Source organism: Homo sapiens, chromosome 2, assembly GCF_000001405.40.
Source record: "Homo sapiens chromosome 2, GRCh38.p14 Primary Assembly".
NCBI classification, from domain to species: domain Eukaryota; kingdom Metazoa; phylum Chordata; class Mammalia; order Primates; family Hominidae; genus Homo; species Homo sapiens.
Window position 1 is genome coordinate 80,446,907 of NC_000002.12, and position 19,900 is coordinate 80,466,806.

Sequence of the window (19,900 nt, forward strand, 5' to 3'; positions counted from 1 at the left end):
AAAAAGATGGATTTTGCTTGTTAAAAAAAGAAGGCAAATGTATTCTGATTGCACCAACATTTCTTAACGTGCACTCCAAACTCTCCAGCTTTTTTCCCCATAAATTTGATGAGAATTATGACCACCATGAATATGTTCACTATCAAAATCAAAGACATTGCCAAAAATAGGTAGAACTTAAGTGTTACTTCAGTTAAATGGTGATCTTATCACTGTGCTTGGTGTCATTTTTATTGTAACATAGTGGAATATTTTAGAAGGGAATGATTAGTAGTCCAGATTTTCTTCTGCAAGAGCTAGAGATTCTCTGATGTAGTTTTTCTGCTGTAGTACATTTTTTTCCAATGCCTTCAATCTATTACTTTTACCATTGCAAATCTTTTGGGTAATATGTGTAATGGGCGTACATTTGGTCCATGAAACTCAGGAGCAAGAATATCACTTGTTTTTATATTTATAAGGTATATAATTATAGCTGGCCACTTTCCAAAAGATCTGGCGTCTTATGGAAGTCTAGAAGCAAGCTTCTTGGTATGGGGTTGTTGTGTTATTTCTCTTACTCTAGGCCTGTGTGTGAGCAGCCACTCCATTCATACAAAATTGTGCATAGGTTATAACAGAATGTCCTGTATGCACAGATGCTCTGATACTTCCTGCTGCAAGAGGAGAATGTTTATTAAGCCTAGTGGGGGAAAAGCTCCTAGTGGAATTATTCCTCCTTTCCTTCCTCTTATCTTGGGAAATCCCACTGTTCTTCCCCAGTCAGGCCCTTCCCTTCATCCTTCTCCCACGCTGGGATAACTTCCGTTTAATAATCCCTTGATGTACCCAACCTTTCAAACAAACACATGGGTGGGAATTTTCTTTAGTTCACCCTTAGAAATCCAAATGTGCTGTTAACTTATGTGGAAGGTGGGAGGGTGGAGGGCATATTTAGGGATGAAGATGAGGTATGGCTGAGAAAGAACGCAGAAGCTTGCTCATTCTTCCAAGGAGAGGGCCAGGGTGAAACTAATCTTTTCATCCTTACCTTTTTGAAAGAAGAACTAGACAGATAGCAATGTAACAATAGAATGTTCTCCCGAATATTTGTGGTAAAGTCTCCGATAACTAAACTCAACAAATCAGAGCCTTTATTACTGCACTTAGTTCTGGAAGGAGTCCAATTACAACAAAGTAACTGGTATCAGATTCTTGCTTTAATAACACCTTTCCAGGAAGGCCCTGGGCTCTTTTCTAATTTGGCCCAATCACTGACGCCTTCTCCATCTTTGTCCTCAGATCCTTTGTGAAATCCCAGATTGTCTTCACTTACTAAAGAAAGACAACCATTTCATTCAGCAGCCTGGATTTACTAAGCAAGGGAGGAGTGGGTATTTTAGGGTGATGCTTAGCAATAAGGGTGAATTTAATATGTTCTCCGTTTCACTCTTAGCGACAATCTCAAAATCTTCAAATAGTTCAAAAAAATTAAACTGTTTTTGTTTCTGAGGAGCATTCAGCAAAATTGAAAAGTCAGTAGGATTTACTTTGATTCCTTTGTTTCGCCTAGCCTGTGTGTTTCTGAATCCTGACTACACATTAGCATTACCTGAGGAACTTCAAAAACTCCAAGCCTGGGTCTCACCCCTAGAGATGCTCATTCAGTCTGGGCTGGGGCCTGGGTGTCACTAATTTGAAGTCCTCCAGGTGATACTAATGTACAGCCAGGGCTCAGAACACCAGCTGCACTATTTGCATAAGTCTCCTTTCTTGTTAGCATTTATTTATTTATTTATACCCTGAATATCTTAGGACTGATTTTTTACAGGGTTATGCTCTTAGTAGGCAAGGAGCTGATAAAATATCATGTATCCCAGGAGCCTGTATGTTAGCAGGGTCTTCAGAAAACCTGGAACCTAAATAATAATGGTGAAATGGTGGCTTGACAGGGCAGCGATATTGCCTTCATTTCCCCAGCTCTCCTTCCTTTCCTCCTTTTTCTCTATCTTTTCCTCCATTAATTTGAAAGGCAATTCTTAAGGCATTCACACTCAAATTTCTGCCATATATTTGGTTAGCTACCTGTAGAGCTGATGCTAGGGGTCATGCTTTCTAAGGCATAGTCCTATGTATCCCGACATTGATGATATGGGTTTGTACACGTAGTCTGAAATGTTTGATTAGCTACCCACAATCAGTAGCAGCCTGCTTAAGATATCAGAAGACCAAGAAGCAAAAATAGGCCAGGTGCAGTGGTTTAGGCCTGTAATCCTAGGACTCTGAGAGGCCGAGGCAGGAGGATCAGTTGAGCCCAAGAGTTTGAGGTTGTAGTGAGCTATGATCAATCATGCCACTGCACTCCAGCCTGGATGACAGAGCAAGACCCTGGTCTCTAAAATTAAATAAATAAATAAATAAATAAATAAATAAATAAATACACTAAATAAAATACACTTCTTGGTCTATTTTGTTATTGTAGCAGTAATATCTGTTCATTGCAAAAACATTAGAAAATGTAGATAAGTTAGAAAGAACAAACCAAAAACCACCTGTAATATAGCTAGGGTTGCCTCTGGCTTTCCTTGTGTCTCCTTCTCTGTTTTCAAATAACTTTCTATACTTAAAATGATTTTTAATGGATCCTCCTCTTGGTACATGTTAAAACAGAGCCTCTGACTACATGTTCTGTAAGGCAGGAACATTTAAGATTTTAAGCCAACTTAGTACCTTTGAATTCAAAACTTGTAGTTTCTTAGAACTCCATACATTAGAATGGCTGTGGAATTATCCAGTGATCAATAAGGATGTGAGTTTCAGAAAGCTTAACACAGAACTAATCAGTGACAGAACTATAAATACAAAATCCAGGGTCACTAGGTTCTGGGGGCCATGTGCCTTTCTGTAGCTCACACTATGTGCTTGGTGTGTAGCCAAGTACAAGGGTGTCAGTTTAATCTGGGTCTGCAAGTGGTAAATTATGCTTTTTAAAGTATTTACTGTTGTTCTACACAGTAGAATGAGAAATGAGAGTTGACTATATTCTTGACATGATCTGTGAAATAACGTGATTGTGGTTGAATTTCCTGGAAAATTTGAAGAATAAATTGATTATTCAAGGTGTGCATTGGTTTATACATATCTCCTCTTCTCTTAATGCAAAGCTATGATGTTAGGAATGTCCAAAGAAATTAGTCACAGAAACAATAATATTTAACCCAACATGTCACAAACCTTGATTTACAGAACACTAGTTCTTAAGATGTTAATAGATATTCCATAGAAAACTCTGGATTAAGTCAAATTAAAGAAACATTTTTCATAATTATAGGAGTATCCTGGGTCTACAATAAGCTTATGGGCATTGTAAATCCCTGTATGAGACAAAGTATGCAAATTTCCTTGTTGTAACCATAATAGCTTTTTTTTTTTCCTTTTTAAAGGACCATTTATTACATCTTGAACAACTAGTATGGTTGTTCAGCCAGTTTAGAACATGCTGGTTTTATCTGGTTAGGCTTTGTGTTTTGGGAACATCCAGAGAACATCTTCTAAAGGACAAAGATGTGCTGAGAGCATAAAGTTAACCTGTTGTAATTTAACCCAGGGAACAAAAGTGGATTTGTCATTTCTTCTCAAGGAATTCTTGTAGTAATTACCCTTGTCTGGAGTTGCTTACCTTACCCCTCCAAGTCTATCTTTTTTCTTGTGTTAGTGTCTCTTCTGAAAGTCCTAACTTTAAAAAAGCAGAATATGATACCTCCTTTTTTACAAAACCAAAGGAGGGACATTCAGATGCTTCCTTGAATCTCCAGTTTCCAAGCTAGACAGTCTTAAAAGATTTTCAGAGGTGTCCAAAGTAATCAAAGTCTTCTTCTAAGAGCACTTGTTGATGGCAGAACTGTATTAGTCTATGGTTTATGGTGATTAAAATTTGATATAGTGCAGGCAAATCAATAGAATCACAGGGTTGGATGGTAATTTTCAGCAGTGGAACTTGAGAGGAACAATTCTATTTCTATTTCATAGTCTTTTTGTCTGTTTGTCTTAACCAAGTCTTCATTAATAACCTCCTGACCATTAAGGTGTCATTGTTTAAAAAAAAAAAGTACTTTTCCCTGTCTCATTTTGGAAGAAATATATACATACACTTACCTTTCTCTGAAAATATCTGGTGCATTATCCTTTGTGTGGCCTTCTCCCCCTCCCATGTGATTTTGTGCCACGGTGTGTAGGTGATTAAGAGTCATGTCTTATAATACTGACTGATACGGTTTGGCTGTGTCCCCACCCAAATCTCATTTTGAATTGTATTTCCCATAATCCCCATGTCTCCTGGGAAGGACCCACTGGGAGGTTATTGAATCATGAGGGCAGTTACCCTCATGCCATTCTCATGATAGTGAGTGAGTTTTCATGAGATCTGATGGTTTTATAAGGAGCTTTTCCCCCTTTGCTTGGCACTTCTCCTTTTTGCCACCATGTGAAGAAGGGCATATTTGTTTCCCCTTCTGCCATGATGGTAAGTTTCCTGAGGCCTCCCCAGCCCTGTGGAACTGTAAGTCAATTAAACCTTTATAAATTACCTAATCTCAAGGAGTTCTTTATAGCAGTGTGAGAGCAGACTAATACACTGACCCCTGGCCTCATGTGCACATCCTATAGCAGATGCTTCCATGTTTTCATTGGACTAGACCTAGCTTCATGTCAAGAGACAGTTGTGAGAATCACTGCATCAGGACTTGATATGTAATATATGGGTCAACCCTTTAATTTAGATTTGTTCTCTTAGATCAGGCAATAATTCAAATATGATTTGAGTAAAATATTTTATTTAATTTTGGGGGGATGAGGAAATGTTTGAGTCTTATTTGGGAATTAAGGAAAATATAGCCAAAATCAGAAGTTATTACAATCCAACATTCAAGAATTACAGATTCCTTCATGCTGATGTCAGTTTCTCAGTCCAACATTTATTTTTTATCGGAAAAAAAAGATTTTTACATATATTTAAATCAGCATATACTAGAATAGGTTTAAGATAAGCATAAAGAGGAGGGCAAAAATAGAATTTGGACATAGAAAAAAATCCCTAAATCCAGAACATGAGGCTAGTTATATATCAAAGCATATTAAATAGATGACTAATTATAACAATATTTAAGCTATATTTGGTTCTTTTGTCCCTGGCACTATACCAAGAACCTAGCAACCATACCACAAGATATTTATAAATACTATTATTTTCATTTTACAGATGAGGCAGCTGAACCTGTTACATTTCTTACCTGTGGTCATGAACCTAGTACATAATGCAATCAGGATTCACAGCTAGGTTTATTTAACTTCAGAGCCTGTTTACAGCTGTTGTGATATACTGTGGATCTCAGTTCATCCATCCATTTATTCAATCAACAAATATTCTTTGTGTCTCCTATTTGACAGGCATTGTGCTAGGTACCATAAACATGGATGAGTAACACAGATGTGATCCCTGCTTCTGATGCATTTACAGACACGTGGCTGTATTCTAGTCGGCTGTGTGCCCAATAGTTTTTAACCCAATGGTCCATAAAATTCCATCTGTTTCCTAAATCAGTCAGGTCTCATGGGGCTGATTGCCAAAATGGGAGAGGTCCTCTGGGCAGCTGTCGGTGTTCTAACGCCGCTGACAAACTGACCAGATTCTGAGCCATATGGCAAGCCCCTGATGCTGGCTGGCATCCTCACAAATGCATGGAGCTTACAAGGGAGAAGAAAGGATGCTGGTGGCATTGGGGGCTTCTTGCAGGTTGGGTTGGGGAAAACCAGCTTAGATAAAAAGAAATCTAGGAAAGGGTGAAATATTCAAACTATCAGCTTTGACTAGAGAAGATTCAATTTGAGATAGAAGGGATGCTGAAATTAATGAACCTTGGTTAGCTGGTATCCCTGCAGTATGATAAGATCTATCATTTAGATCAAGGAGATTTATTCTTGGGATACAGCAAGACCTCCCAGGTTTTTGGAAAGGTATCTGATGGAATGAGGCAAAAATTTCAGAGTTAGTTGGCCAAGTTATGGTGGGAGAGAGTAGGATGAAAGGCTGGGGTGCCTTCTAGGCCAGGTATAGCTGGGGTTGAACCTGACAGCCTGGGACCTCTTTGAAGGCCAAAGAGACAGACTGGCCACACCCAGTGGGAATTTGTTAAGGGGCTGCTACCTGATGTTCCTGAGGGTACTTTGGGAGCTAAATCCAAGCATAGAGCAAGCATGGGAGCATCACGTGGATTTCCATTTCAACACTGGTGAAATCAAATCTCCTAACACACCGTCATCTAGCTTTGCCTTGCTCAGGGTCTGTGCAAGGTTGAGCAGGCTGAGTACTGGTCATTACTGGCCATGGTTGGGCATGGCCAAGGTTGGTAGGGATAGGGGCTGACTAAGCACCCACCCCCACCCTAACCCTGGAAGAACACAATGGAAAAGTAATGTGTTAAGAGTGTCAGTCTAAGAACAGCACATCTGTTTGTGTTACTGGTACTGAACTTCACTATGGAAGCAAGTGGGTGGATAGACTCTAATATGGTGCATTCAAAATGGATATTCTCTGCTGGCTTTAGCAACAGCTTCATGGTTAGTGATTTCTCCATGTGTGTGATTCGCTCACGTAATTCTGTTTAGCTCCACGAAAGCTGTTAAAAAAACAAACAAAATAAAACAGAAAAACAAGACAGAAGAGAGAAACCATAATTGAGCTAGCAACGTGCTTAAATAGGAAACACTACAGAACATATATCTGTTTGCGGGGGATCACAAGGTCTCACAAAACAAAGTTGCATAGGAGAATGTGAGGACAGACAGGGTTATATAACACAATGTAGTTTCAATCAGAATGATTTTGTCCTTTGACCTGACTGTAAATCAAAAGATACGTTTCTATTCTCCACCCCCGTGTTTTTCTTGATGGTAATTTCCACTGAATGTCAAGCTTTTTGTGTGATGAATAAATACCCATTCTATGGGTACCATTACCAGCTGTCCTAGCTGCTGTAGGAACTCTCCTTGACTGAAATAACAATAAATTATTTCAATCATTTAGAAATTAGCTGCACAATTGTCAAAGCTCTGGCTTATATTAACATGATGCTTGAGAAAAAGAAAAAAAAAGAAAAGAATAAAAGAAAGGGCAAAGAGGGAGAAAGAAAAACATTTCGAGCCCCATTCCAACTATCAAGGGAGGCTGTCTGAGAACAAAGGCAAAGCGACATAGTTTACTCTTATCTGCTCTAATTATTCTTTATCTTAAAGTATTACAATTGATTGTATTGAGCATCTTTATCTATGTCTGGAAAGGATCAAATAAGAGAAAAGGAGGGGCTGAGAGGAACACTATAGAAAGATAGATTTTTGTCTCATTGCAGGAAGAGCTTTCCTTTAAAGGGAAAATATGCTGTTATGGAAGGTCCCTGGAAGCAGTACGATGCAGAGTTCACCTCGGGAGTTCTGGGTTCAGACTGTCATGGTGGGACTTAGCACTTCGCAAACTGCTCTGTACCTTCCCCATGTGTAGAACAGGGAAAACTGTAGTCCATCCCCAAAGAGACAATATGTGCCTGGCTGTTGGTGATAATCAGCCATTTAATACTACTATTCATGAATCCCTTGTCCTTGAACGTGTTCAAATGTTAGATTTTTAAAAAGCTCTATTCAGCTCAGAGATTGAATTCTTAGGTTCTGCCAGGGAGATAAGGAGATGGATGAGCAGAACTCAGTGAGGCTGACGGAGGGCAAGTACCCTGGGCACTGGGTCTTGCTTATTAGTTCTGCCGGGCAGCATGCGGCACACTTGGTCTCCCCAGGTCTCCATCTGCAGCCTCTCAGACAGCGTGTTGAGCTGACATATGGCACAGGGCCAGCCCTGGGCATTTGATCATTGTCAGCCTCCCAGCAGAATCTTTGGCCTGAGCACAGATTGGCAGGCGGGCAGTCAGTGCTTCCCTCTCTGATGATGGGCTAGCCCGGGGAAGGCCCAGAGCCAAAGGTCAGAAGGAAAACAAGGAAGCTGTGAAATCATATCAGAGAATCAGAGCTCAGTCCCTTCTTTTCACAATTGAGGAGCCAGAGGCTCTGAAAAGGGAGATGATATGCGGAGGCTGCATCCCTCATGACAGCAGAACTTGGACCAAAAGACAAGTCCCTTTCTTCCAGATTAGTGATCGCCCTGTTTCAGCTTACTGACTGTCAGGGCTGGCAAACAAATGGCAAATGGTTAGGTTGGGGTAATGAGGTGTCAGGGGTTTATGAAGCAGCCTTTTTGTACCTATAAATGAAATTTTTAAAGTGCCATGATATAGTCAGTAGGCCTATGTCAAGAAAGAAAGCTTGTCACATAAGTCTGGCGTAGAGCCACTGGGCAGAGGCAGGAAGAAAGACATAAAGAGAAACTGTTACCCAGCTAGTAATTGCCAGGTTGAATGGGCTTGTATAAAGGTCATCTCTCTATCAGGAGGGTTGAGAAGGCAGGACTTTGTGGAGCCAAAGTGAGGGAAACAGAAGCAGATTTAGCAAGATTCTTTTTGTTTCTTTTTTGTGGGCATGAGTAGAGGAGAGGAATGTGAGACTGACATTAGGGTCTCCACGGCATTAGGTCTCCGTGAAGTTGCGAGTTAGTGGAAATTTGTGTTTCATGCCTTCATCACCTTATCTTTTGTACCTTCATTCCTCTTCCACATCTTTCTGGAGAGGAGTGTACTCTCACAAATCCTCTCCTCATTAAAGTGAAGAAAATAATATGATAAATTAATTCACACCAAGATGGTGGTGACTAATGTGTGCTGTCCGTGCGACCTTTGAGTTTTAAAAGGAGATTCTAAGAGAAGGCCAGTGCCATTGCTTACCATTGAGCAGGGAGTCTCTACCAGCAGAATGTCAGATGAGGGGAGGAGGAATGGTGTGTCTGGATGCATATTATGAGCATAATTTTGTTCTCAGTGCACTGATCCATTTAATCTTCGAAACAAGCCTGTGATTACCTGAGACACAGAGTGGTTATGTCACCTGAGGAAGGTCACATGGCTGGAAAGAGAAGTTTGGAACTAAACTTAGTCACACTATGGCTCTAAAACAAAATGTCCCTTTTACTGTTCAATGCTTGCCAGTGAGAAGTTACTTTCCTTATTTGTACCATAATTTTACTCAAGTCTGTGAGGATTTTGAGTTGAAGATATGGCTCCTAATGCCTGGAGCCGGATGTGGGATGTGCTGAATGCATCTCCTTCAGTTACTGGTCTCTATTACTAAGCCAGAAGCTGGACACCTGAGCTATTGGTGACATGGAGTACCCGGGTTGTAGACCAATGCTCCTATGTGTAATAAAAAGTTACTTGCTTTTCTTGGAAGCCTCTTCTTTCTGTGTGGCCACTTTAATATCCCCTGCACATTGGTATCCCCTGCACTTTGGATGATCTGGTATTGCTGTGGCTTCTGTGTGTTGTGCAGCCCTGCTGCCATTCCAGGAATCACCAGCAATACTGCAACTGATGTAGTCTCAGTACATTTGGGTGGACTGGGGTGCTATTGGACGCGGAGGGAGCAGGCGGGATAGTGAGATCCCAGAGCAAGGCCACTTTGCATGACATTCAACTGGAATGTAGCTTGTATGAGTTCTCAAAGATTATGTCACCACCATACAATTGTCTTTGGGTTTCTCAGTGTTTTACAACTAATTAAATGCAGTTAGTGTTTAAGGGCTCAAGGCTTCGTGCAAGTTAGGCCCACATTGAAAACCCAGGCAATGCATTTTAGCTACATGGCCTTAGACAGGTACTTATACACTTCGAGTTTCAGTTTCCTTAGCTATAAAATGGGAAGCATAATAGATACCTTATTGGGCACCTGAGGGAATTAGATGAGAAAAGGTACATGCACATGGAGGTCGAGTAGAAGGTGGTTATCAGAGGCAGGGAAGATTGGAGGAAGCAGGGAATAAAGAGAGGTTGGTTAACAGGTACAAAAATACAGTTAGGTAGAAGGAATAAGTTCTAGCGCTTGATAGCACAGTGGGGTGACTATAGTTAACAATAATTTGTTGCATATTTCAAAATAGCTTGAAGAAAGTATTTGGAATGTTTTCAACACGAAAGAATGATAACTGTTTGAGGTGATTGATATGCCCATTGCCCTGATTTGATCATTATACATTTTTTTTTAATTTTACATGTTTTTTTTTGGACAGAGTCTCGCTCTGTCACCCAGGCGGTGATCTCGACTCACTGCAACCTCTGCCTCCCGGGTTCAAGTGATTCTTCTGCCTCAGCCTCCCGAGTAGCTGGGATTACAGGTGCCCACCACCGCACCCAGTTAATTTTTGTATCTTTAGTAGAGATGGGATTTCGCCGTGTTGGCAAGGCTGGTTTCAAACTCCTGACCTCAGGTTTTCTGCCCGCCTTGGCCTCCCAAACTGCTGAGATTACAGGCGTGAGTCACTGTGCCCGACTGATCGTTATACATTATATATATTGAAATAACATGTATTGAGATAACATACTGTACCTCATAAATATGTACAATTATTATGTATCAGTAAAAAAAGAAAGAAAAATGTTCATGGAAAGTTTTTTTAGTATAATGCTGACACATAATAAGTATACAATACACTGTCTATATTATTAATATTAATATTACTGATGTAAAAATATACAAACTCCTTACTAGGCTTCGTAAGATCCATTGTATTTGCTCCTAGAATTCTTTCCAAACTCATCTTTGTATCTCTTCTCAGACTCAGCACATAGTAGATTTAGAGTAAACACTATATTGAGGGATGGGTTCACATTTCTCTTCATTCTCTTTTCTCTTGAGAATGAACCTTCATATACTGATGCTCTAAAATTTATTTTATTCTTTCAGGGATTTTAATGCTCCTCCTCCTTGTTTCCCTCAGTTAGTATTTCTGCTTTCTAAGATTTTGTTTTTTTTCTCTTGTTTAAAAGTCAGACACCCTTCCAACTCCCTTGTCTCCTGCAGAGGAGATCGAAAGAGATGATTCACTTTTGAACATGTGAAAAATGACTTCCTTGAAATTTTAGTTCATCGAACAGACTATCCTCTAGTGCCTTCCTTCACCCTTGCTGCTTCCTTCTAGAGCTGAAGTTAGGCTGCAGATGAGGAGGGCAAGAAGGAGTATCTATTTTTCAATCCTTGTGTAGGTGCCAAGAGACTTAACTAACAGCAGCTATAGAAATAAGTTGTACATTTTGTCTAACTTCCTTTGAAGTCTTTGAAGAAATAAATAAACCTTCGATTTTTTTTTAGAAATATTTAGAGTAATTCTATTTAGGTCAGTTGATAAGTTACCTCTGTTAGAACTGAGGGACTATATAAAAAACTTGGATGTTTCAATTATTCATATAGTGATGTATTTTGTAGTTAATATGACCTATTGTGTATTAATCAGATGTGGACTACTAAAACCTAATTTATTCAGTTATTCAAAGAAGAAGTAGACTGTGCTTCTGTGTGTCAAATAATATGGTTAATTTTCTGGATCCCTGACAAGTAAATAAATTTATGTTAAAAAATAACAAATTAAGATTCCCTAAAATATGTAGACTATTGACATACTACAAAATACGTATTTATATTTGTGTTTGGCTGGTTGGAAATACCTAGATAGCAAGTTCAATTTTCCAATTCATTTTGCAAACACCTTTCTCTTTAACCTTGAAAAATCCTTTCCACTGTTATTTGTGAAAAATCATTTTTTTAGCAGACTGCTTTCTGAAAATCACTGACCCTTCTCCTGTTTGGAAAGGACCTTGAAGTTCAGCTTGTTCAACCACACACCAAAAGCTCTAATCTTCCCTCTAGCAGCTTAGATAACAGCTAGTTCAGTGGTTGTCTATCCTGGGTTTATATTATTAACTTATAGAGACTTAAACAATTATAAATGATCAGCCCCCTCTCTTCTACCTCCCAACAACTTTGATGTATAGTCATGGGCTACATAAGGACATTTCAGTCTAGAATAGATGTACACAATTGTGGTCCCATAAAATTATAATGAAGCTGCCCTATACAGATGTACAATTAAAAAAATATTTTATACCATATTTTTACTGGTAACTTTTCTATGTTTAGATACGCTTAGATACACAAATACTCACCATTGTGCTACAACTGCCTACAGTATTCAATAGAGTAACATGCTTTACAGGTTTATAACCTAGGAACAATAGGCTATACCGTATAGCCTAGGCACGTAGTAGGATACATCATCTAGGTTTGTGTAAGTACACGCTATCATGTTTACACAATGATGAAACCACCTAAGGATGCATTTCTTAGAAGGTATTCCTACTCAGTGATCCATGAATTTAATTGGTCTGGGAGGAGTTTGGCATTCACATTAGAAAAGCTCCCTACGTGCTTTTAATGTGCCTCCAGGCTAAAAACCACTATACAAGTTGACCTGCTGAGGTGCTGATGAGAGGACGTAGAAGACCAGAAGGACCACAGTTCACCTTGACATTGAGGTTAAAAGCTATTCATAAGATATTCATATCTGAAATAATAAAGGCACCATGTACATTTTTGAATTCAGCAAGAAAAGGGCAGTTTTCTTATCCTGCTTATCTTAAGGTGATTGCACAGATAACATGGGCCCAGGCAGAAGCCAGGGAAAAAATGCCTTGTCAAAAGATGAAGAGTTAAGGGAGTCTGTTGAAAGTGGCAGCCTCCCCTCATTGCCTTGATCAGTGCTCCAATTCCTAACCTGGAACATACCAATCTGTCCCAGGACACCCCACACAGACATACACTTGATTTTGCTTCCTTTTCCTCCTGCTATTCTGTACTTCTGACAATCATCTCCTTTTCCTACCATCAAAATCTGTCTTGGAGATGATGTGCCGACATCCCTCAGCCACATTGTTTGGATTCCCATAAAAGCCACTCAATTCCCCTGCCAGGGTACTCAGGTCTTTGTAGGCTTGGTGTAAGCATAGGTGGGCCAGTGTGTGAGAGACTGCTGGACTGGCAGAGACTTGGGGCATTCTCATAGTGTTCAATTTCCTGGCAGGTCAGATAAACCTGTGGGGGGCACTGAGACTCAAAATAATTTCCTTTACCCAGCGTTTATTTGGGAAATCCCCTGACTTCTCAGATACTTAAGAAAATGTCAGGGCTCTGAAAATAAGTTACTAATGCTCCTGAAATTTAAACTCTTAAGACTCTATACATAAGTCAGATATGACCCCATTAAGGAGGATAGTTTACTTCTTTATATTTTGTTCGTAGAAGAAAAAAAATTGCCTTTGTGCACAGGTCCTGCTGGAAAACTGCTCTCAATCCATAGCCTTTCTTTGCTTGGAACTGTAGAAACTGACATAGGTTGTTCCTAATCTTGAGTGACAGTCATTTAGCTAGCAGACATTTGCATGGTCTTTGGAGAATTATAGCACATATTAAGCATGCCTATATCTTGTTCATTTCTTATGCACATACTCCAGTGCTTTTTAGATCTTAACACAAAGAATCCTGAAGAAAAAGAAACTGTAACACTCAAAGAAAAGTAAGATATTCAAAAAGAATGTGACATAGGCTTTAAGAAAAAGCTGGAGAAGCAGTTAGTAAACTTATCCCTTTATGTACTATATGCAAGGTATATTTCCCTCTTTCTCCCGCTTCTTCTTTCCCTCCCTATCACACCCTGTCCATCTACCCTCACCCCAGCTGTCATTAGTTGTATTCATTTTATGAATCTTACAAATACCCTACCACATCTTGTATTTTACACAACACACACAGTCACACACATGCACACAATTTAATTCAACTGTAAGTCTTCCCTATTGGTTTGCAACTTGCTTTTCTTATTTAAAATATCTTGTACATTCCCATTCTAGATAAATGGAGGATATCCTTCTAACTCAATGGTTCTCAAACTTTAGCATGCATCAGAATCACCTGGAGGACTTGCCAAAATACAGATTGTTGGATCTCATCCCCCAAGTTTCTGATTCAGTATATCTGGGGTGGAGCCCAATAATTTTTTGTCAATATCACATTTATAACACATTCCCAGGCAATGTTGACTCTACCGTTCCAGGAACACAATTTGGGAGAAGACTTTCTAACCGCTTCTTTTAGATAGCTACATAATCTTTAATGATAGAGATACAGCATGAATTTTTCTGTCATTCCACTACTGATTCTGACAAAGATTCTTTGCTTTACCTAACTTTAGCCAGGCTCCTAAATCTTTTCCTACTCCCATTTGTGCATTTCCTTGTAAAATCCAGTTTTAACAAAGAATCCTGTTAAGTCAGTTTAGTAAGAACCACCCACCCTCAATATCTGATCACCCTCCTTGTCTGATGAAGTTCCTTATCCTCCCCCATGCCTGACATGATGTCTGATCACCCTGGCCCGTTGTTTACAAGAATCCTGTTATGTTGGAGTTCCCATTATCCCTGATGTTACCTCGTAGTAATTTTTCATCCACTGACCTCCCTCACCTCCCTACTCCTTAGCTATAAATTGCCGCTGCCCATGCTGTATTCAGAATGAAGCCGTCTCCCCACCAGCTCACACTGACCCCCAACTGCAAATTCCCATTGCTAGGGTTCCTATAACTATTGCAAAGGTCCTAAATAAAGTCTGCCTTATCATGCCTTAACTAGTGTCATTGAATGTTTCTGTTTGTTTGACAATATACATGCAATTATTTTGTCTCTACATTCAGTGGTGCAATAAATGTCCTTATACTGTTATGTTCATGTACTGGTGCTTTTATCTTGCTAGGATCCGAAACTTAAAAAAAAAAAGTCTTTTGAACTAGATTATGAGTCACAGGAGAAAATCAGTCTCACTGCTTTGTGGCCACACTTCAGCTAGATCTTATTGCTAGACTTGGAACCAAATAATGTCGACTTTTTCCAGAAGTATATCCTCCCTCAGAAGAATGATATTTTCCACTTTTGTGGATAATCAAAGATATATGCCCCAGGCTCCTACAGCATTTCTAGAAGGGGAGCTCCAGCTATGCAAGTTGTCAGCAAGGGCAGGTTGAGTGGGCTTTGTGCTCAGCCCCCTGGGGATCTGCTTTGCAAGACATCATTCACTGGGCAATAAAAGGTTTGGTGATGTTTTCATTGTTATTTAAAAGTCAGTTAACTTACTTTGATTATGTACAGTGCCTTGGGCCTTGCCTTAGAAGTCTAGGGAATGAACACTTTTAATTGAACTCCTGCTGTATTCTAGGCACTTTTAAAAACAAGATCTCATGGCATTATGATAACAACCTCGGGAGGTGGGACTCTGCACAGGTTAATTTTGTCTGGTTGTTGAAGAAAATGAGTCTCAGGCTACTGAAGTTGCTTTTCTAAGTCTGTTGATGATGGTATATGGCCAAGCTAAAATTTGAACTTAGAAACTTCTGGCTTCAAATTTATTTATTTTTTTCCTGGAAACATACTGCTTTATACGGGAAGACTTGAAAGCAGCAAATAGAGTCTCTATCTAGGGTATACTGATTGAGTTTGAGGTTGTATAGATATTGGTCATTTTAATTCTTTTTTAAGCCTCTGTTTCTTGAGTTATATCTGTTGTAGGCAGCATCATTTACTCATTCAATTTTGGGCAATAATCATGACTGGATTAAACATTTGGGTTTTCCATTTATGCTGATTTCATCTAGGTACAATTTTCTATCTCTCTTATGTATCTCATTTTTCTCTCCCTTCCTTTCCTTCTTTCTTTCTTTCTTTTTTTTTTTTTTTTTTTTTGACGAATAAAGAGCTGCTGGGTCATCACTTCTCAGCCTAAAGAGTCACTATTAATCTTGAGAGCAGCATTCCTGGTCGAAAAGACACTAGGACATGGTTTGCAAGCATCCAGGAATTAGTCTACGCACTCTTTGGGTGTTATCCTCAACGGTGTCTTCTCTATTCGGTTTCTTTCTTGTCTTGGAGTCCCAGTTCCACCTTGTTATGAATTCCCTATCCCTACCCTCTCCACTCTAGCTTCTCGTTGATCTTTTATAGCTTATTTTCTAGTGCAGTGTTTAACCTCTGCTCTGAAATCATTAGTCTATTTTTCCTCCCTACTTAGTCGGCACACTGATTATTCCAGATTCTATGGTTCCTGTTTCCAACCCTCTCAGCCTTTCTCGTCTTTTACCTGACTCCCTAGGAGTTGGCGCTGTGATGCGATGCTTACTTGACTGTTTATGCCTCCATCTCTGACCTTTTTCTGAAAATCTTTTCATACTGTGGCTTGCTAAATACTGTCTGACAAATCCCCTGCTCCATTTATCATCTCACATGGTTCTTTAACTGTTGTTTTATCTTCTGTTCCTTTTAAGTCCTTGTTTTCTTCACTTCTTTATCCAGTAACATAGACATGTGAGCAGAGGAAAATAAAAATAGAACACCCCCCTTAATAGTCGCCAGCACTACGTCTAACTTCCTTTGTTCATTAAGGTAGTACTTTGTACATTTTAATGTATTGGTAGTTTTTCAAGTAGTTGAAATGCCTAGATTAATTGAGGTAGGGATTGCAGATCCTTAGAAGGGTTATGGAGCACAGGGAAAGAATCATTCGGCTCTGGTTAAATCTTATTTTTCTTTATTCTCATTCTGTGTGGAGTTATTAGGATGGATTTCCTTAGAATGTTTGGGAGTTTTCATGTTCAGGCTGCTTTCAAAATCAACAGTCTCCACGGGTGGATACTCAGGATTTGGGGTAACAAGAGGAATGAGTTCTGATTCCACCCTATGAAGCTTGTGATGAAGCATTTCCAATACATTATTGAATTTGATTACATTAATAGTCCTGTGAAGTAGATCTTCATATTGCTATTTTACAGTCAATAAACCAAGCTCAGAAAGATGGAAGAAAATAAACATTTATCTAGTATATATTTTCTAGGCAGTTTGGCTAAAGGATAAATGGCTTGCCCCAAGGCACATTGCTGTACGCAGAGGAGCTAGAATTCATTGTTTTACCCACTGTCTCAAAGTGCTAATGGTCGTGGAGTCATACTTTTAGGGACTTGTAGCTCATGGACTGAGGTTTCAGGAATGAAGCCCTATTCTCCTTTTTCATCTTCTGCCTCTTCCTTTATCTCCCCTTCATGATTCTGTGAACCTCTTTCATATTTTTCCTTCTTTCTAAACCAACAGGTTTACTCTTATTGGTCTGTCCTTGACCCAGCATTGATGCCTTCTCTCCCTCTCTCTGCCAGCCTCCAAGCATCACTGCAGCCCTCTTGGAATTCTAGTTGATCTTATCCCAGCAGCTCCAGCCTGAACTGTGAGAAAGAATGTTCTATCTGTCCTGCATGAACCAGAAGAAAGAACTGTCTTCAATATAATGGAGATCCAATAATCTGTTTTGACAGTGATGTTAATTCCAAATAATTTACGGGTTCTTGAGCTTTTCATCATGGTACCAGGTTTTCTATGGGGTATCAGACATTGGGTTAAAACTGATTCATGCAATGAAATGGACAAATTTGAGTTGTGGTCAGATGTTTTAATTAGCTCTCTTTTACTTAGAGTTCCTCCTGCCCTGATGGTTGAATCATTTCTACCAAAGTTCTTTGTGCTTCAGTGAGGTTTTCTCACAGTAAAAAGGGAACAAGCAGATCTGGACTTAAAAATAGGTAGAATGAGTAGTATCAGGAAATTCTGTCCTAATGGTGTCTGTAATAATGGCTGAAAATTCAATATTAGCTAGGAAGTTTCACTTTGTCATTAAGTTTTTTTCTTTTTCTCTAATGCCTCCCCCAACTTGCATACCCACTCTGGCATGCACAATGTTCCTATATCACTTTGGGACGAGACCTTGTTTATGTAAATTTCCTATATTCCAGACACTGTTTTAAGGACTTTATAAGCATTAGTTTATTTAAACACATGAGGAAGGTACTAGTACAAATCTCATACCACAGGTGAAGAATCTGAGGCACAGACAAGTTAATTAACTTAGCCATTGTTCAGCGGGCTAGTAAGTGGCACAGCTGGTGTTAAAATTCAGGCATTCTGGTTCCAGAGTCTTTGCTCTCAGCTACTCTGATGGTTTTGTTTCTTTCTCTGAGATTCATGGCATAAACCCTCATAAATACTAATTTCACAGTATTTTAATTATTTGTCAAAAGATATGCGTCTTCATTCACCCTGCTCCATTGGGATGAGAGCTACTCAAAAGCAAGGGTTTTGAGTTATTCATATTCTCCAGCAGGGAATCTTGCCATGACTTGTTCAGTATTGAACCCTGCTGCTTACAATCAGGTAGGCTCTCTATAAGTACTGGTGAATTAATCTTTTCAACCTCCTGCTCCAATTACAGTGAAACACATGATAGGCTCCATGAATGTCAAGTAAATATATGCATTTTGTGATCAAGGGGTATGGTCTTAATACATATGTGCTTGTGAATAATTCCCCAAATTATGAATTATATTTATTCCATTGTCCAAGCTTAATGACTATGTAGTCAGTGTTTATTGGTGTACTTCCCTCCTACCATTTTTGCAGTTACAGAACCATTACAAATGGAAGACTGGGTGACAACAACGTAAATTACTGCAGACTGAAAGAACTTGGCACATGTTGCCAGGAACAGGTATTTCTTTGAGTATCTTGGAATGCTTGAAGAAGGCCACAGAGGGTTTCTTCCACTCCTTTTGGAGGTGCTCCAAAGCTTTCTGCGATGCTGGTGCATTTAGAAATCAAAGCAGCCCATCAAGAAGGCCAATTCTAGGAAGAAAACAAACAAAAAAAGAAGTCATTTGCCCTCGCCCTAGCCCTCCCTCTATTTTATCCTAACTTCTTCTTTATTTCTTTTAAATAAGGGACTAGAAAAGATGTGAAACCAAAGAATTTCAATTTTATCACTTAATTTTCATTTTATGATGCAGTTAGAATGAGCTCTTCATTTATTTGTTTCGTAAGCCCAAGCTTTCACTAATGTTTTCCTGAATTTTATATTCTGTTTCAGTATGGTGTGATGGTTTTTATTTTTTTCATCTAAAAATGAAGTAGGCATTCTTCTAATATGAAATAATAGTGTGTCTCACATAGTTGGTTATTTAGTGCTGTGTTTTAATCGTCAGCATGAGGGGCCACAAGTTATCTGCAACTCTTCTGCTTCCATATGTGTTTTCTTCCTTTGTTATTCCTGCCTGACCTTTTCTTCCAAGAATAGAATGAGAAAGCAACTTGTTATATGTTCTTCCTCTGTAACTTATATTGTAATTGCCACATTTCTGTTGTGATATTGATTTGGAAAACTCATCGGCATTCTAGCGTATAAAGTAATAGAAATCTGAATCCTGCTGGAGGGAGTTATTTAGTCTTTATTGAAGTGATTTACAGAGAGCTTTCTACCCAAATAAAATGCTCAGAGAAAAAAGGAGATGTACTGATGCAAAAGCGTGCCTGTTTCTCAAGCAGCACCAAGAATACAGAGATTGTGTCATTCTAGCTTTTCATTTCTTCTTTCCTTGATTTTATGAATGAATGACACTAATGAAATAAGTAAATGTGCATTATGTATGTGTTTCTGGACAGTTATGGATGACTTTCCAGGTAAAACTTGGCAAAGCACATTTCTTTAACATACCAAATAATTTAAAACTTACTAGAGGAGCCTCTTAATAAAAAATGTTGTAGACAATATTTTTGCAAAAAAAAGAAACCTTTTTCAAAATGAAGACTTGTTTTGTCCACATATTTCTTCAAAAAAAAATCTTACTTCAATTTGCAATGTTCACAAACAGATGGAAAAACTACATTTGATTGATACATGAAAAGTTCTCACAGTTCCCATAGCATTTGTCTGTGAGTTCAGCTGGGTTATTGTTTCTGTTTCATGCTATCTTGCTTAGGCCCCAACAGGATTTCCATCAAAGAGTTCAATGAAAATAAGATTATAA

At 39.0% G+C, this 19,900-nt stretch overlaps 1 protein-coding gene across 14 annotated transcripts in view, besides 2 other annotated features; it reads left to right on the plus strand.

Annotated features, from left to right (window-relative positions):
* CTNNA2 (catenin alpha 2) overlaps positions 1–19,900 on the plus strand; it is a 1,463,404-nt gene that overhangs the window by 1,261,530 nt on the left and 181,974 nt on the right. The window lies entirely within an intron of this gene.
* Positions 14,699–15,203: an enhancer, noted in NCBI's record as "OCT4-NANOG hESC enhancer chr2:80688730-80689234 (GRCh37/hg19 assembly coordinates)". NCBI's record gives its function as "activates a minimal SCP1, AML or CMV promoter by ChIP-STARR-seq in naive H9 embryonic stem cells {active_cell/tissue: H9 hESC(naive)}" and the evidence as "EXISTENCE:reporter gene assay evidence [ECO:0000049][PMID:30033119]".
* Positions 15,204–15,709: an enhancer, noted in NCBI's record as "OCT4-NANOG-H3K27ac hESC enhancer chr2:80689235-80689740 (GRCh37/hg19 assembly coordinates)". NCBI's record gives its function as "activates a minimal SCP1, AML or CMV promoter by ChIP-STARR-seq in naive H9 embryonic stem cells {active_cell/tissue: H9 hESC(naive)}" and the evidence as "EXISTENCE:reporter gene assay evidence [ECO:0000049][PMID:30033119]".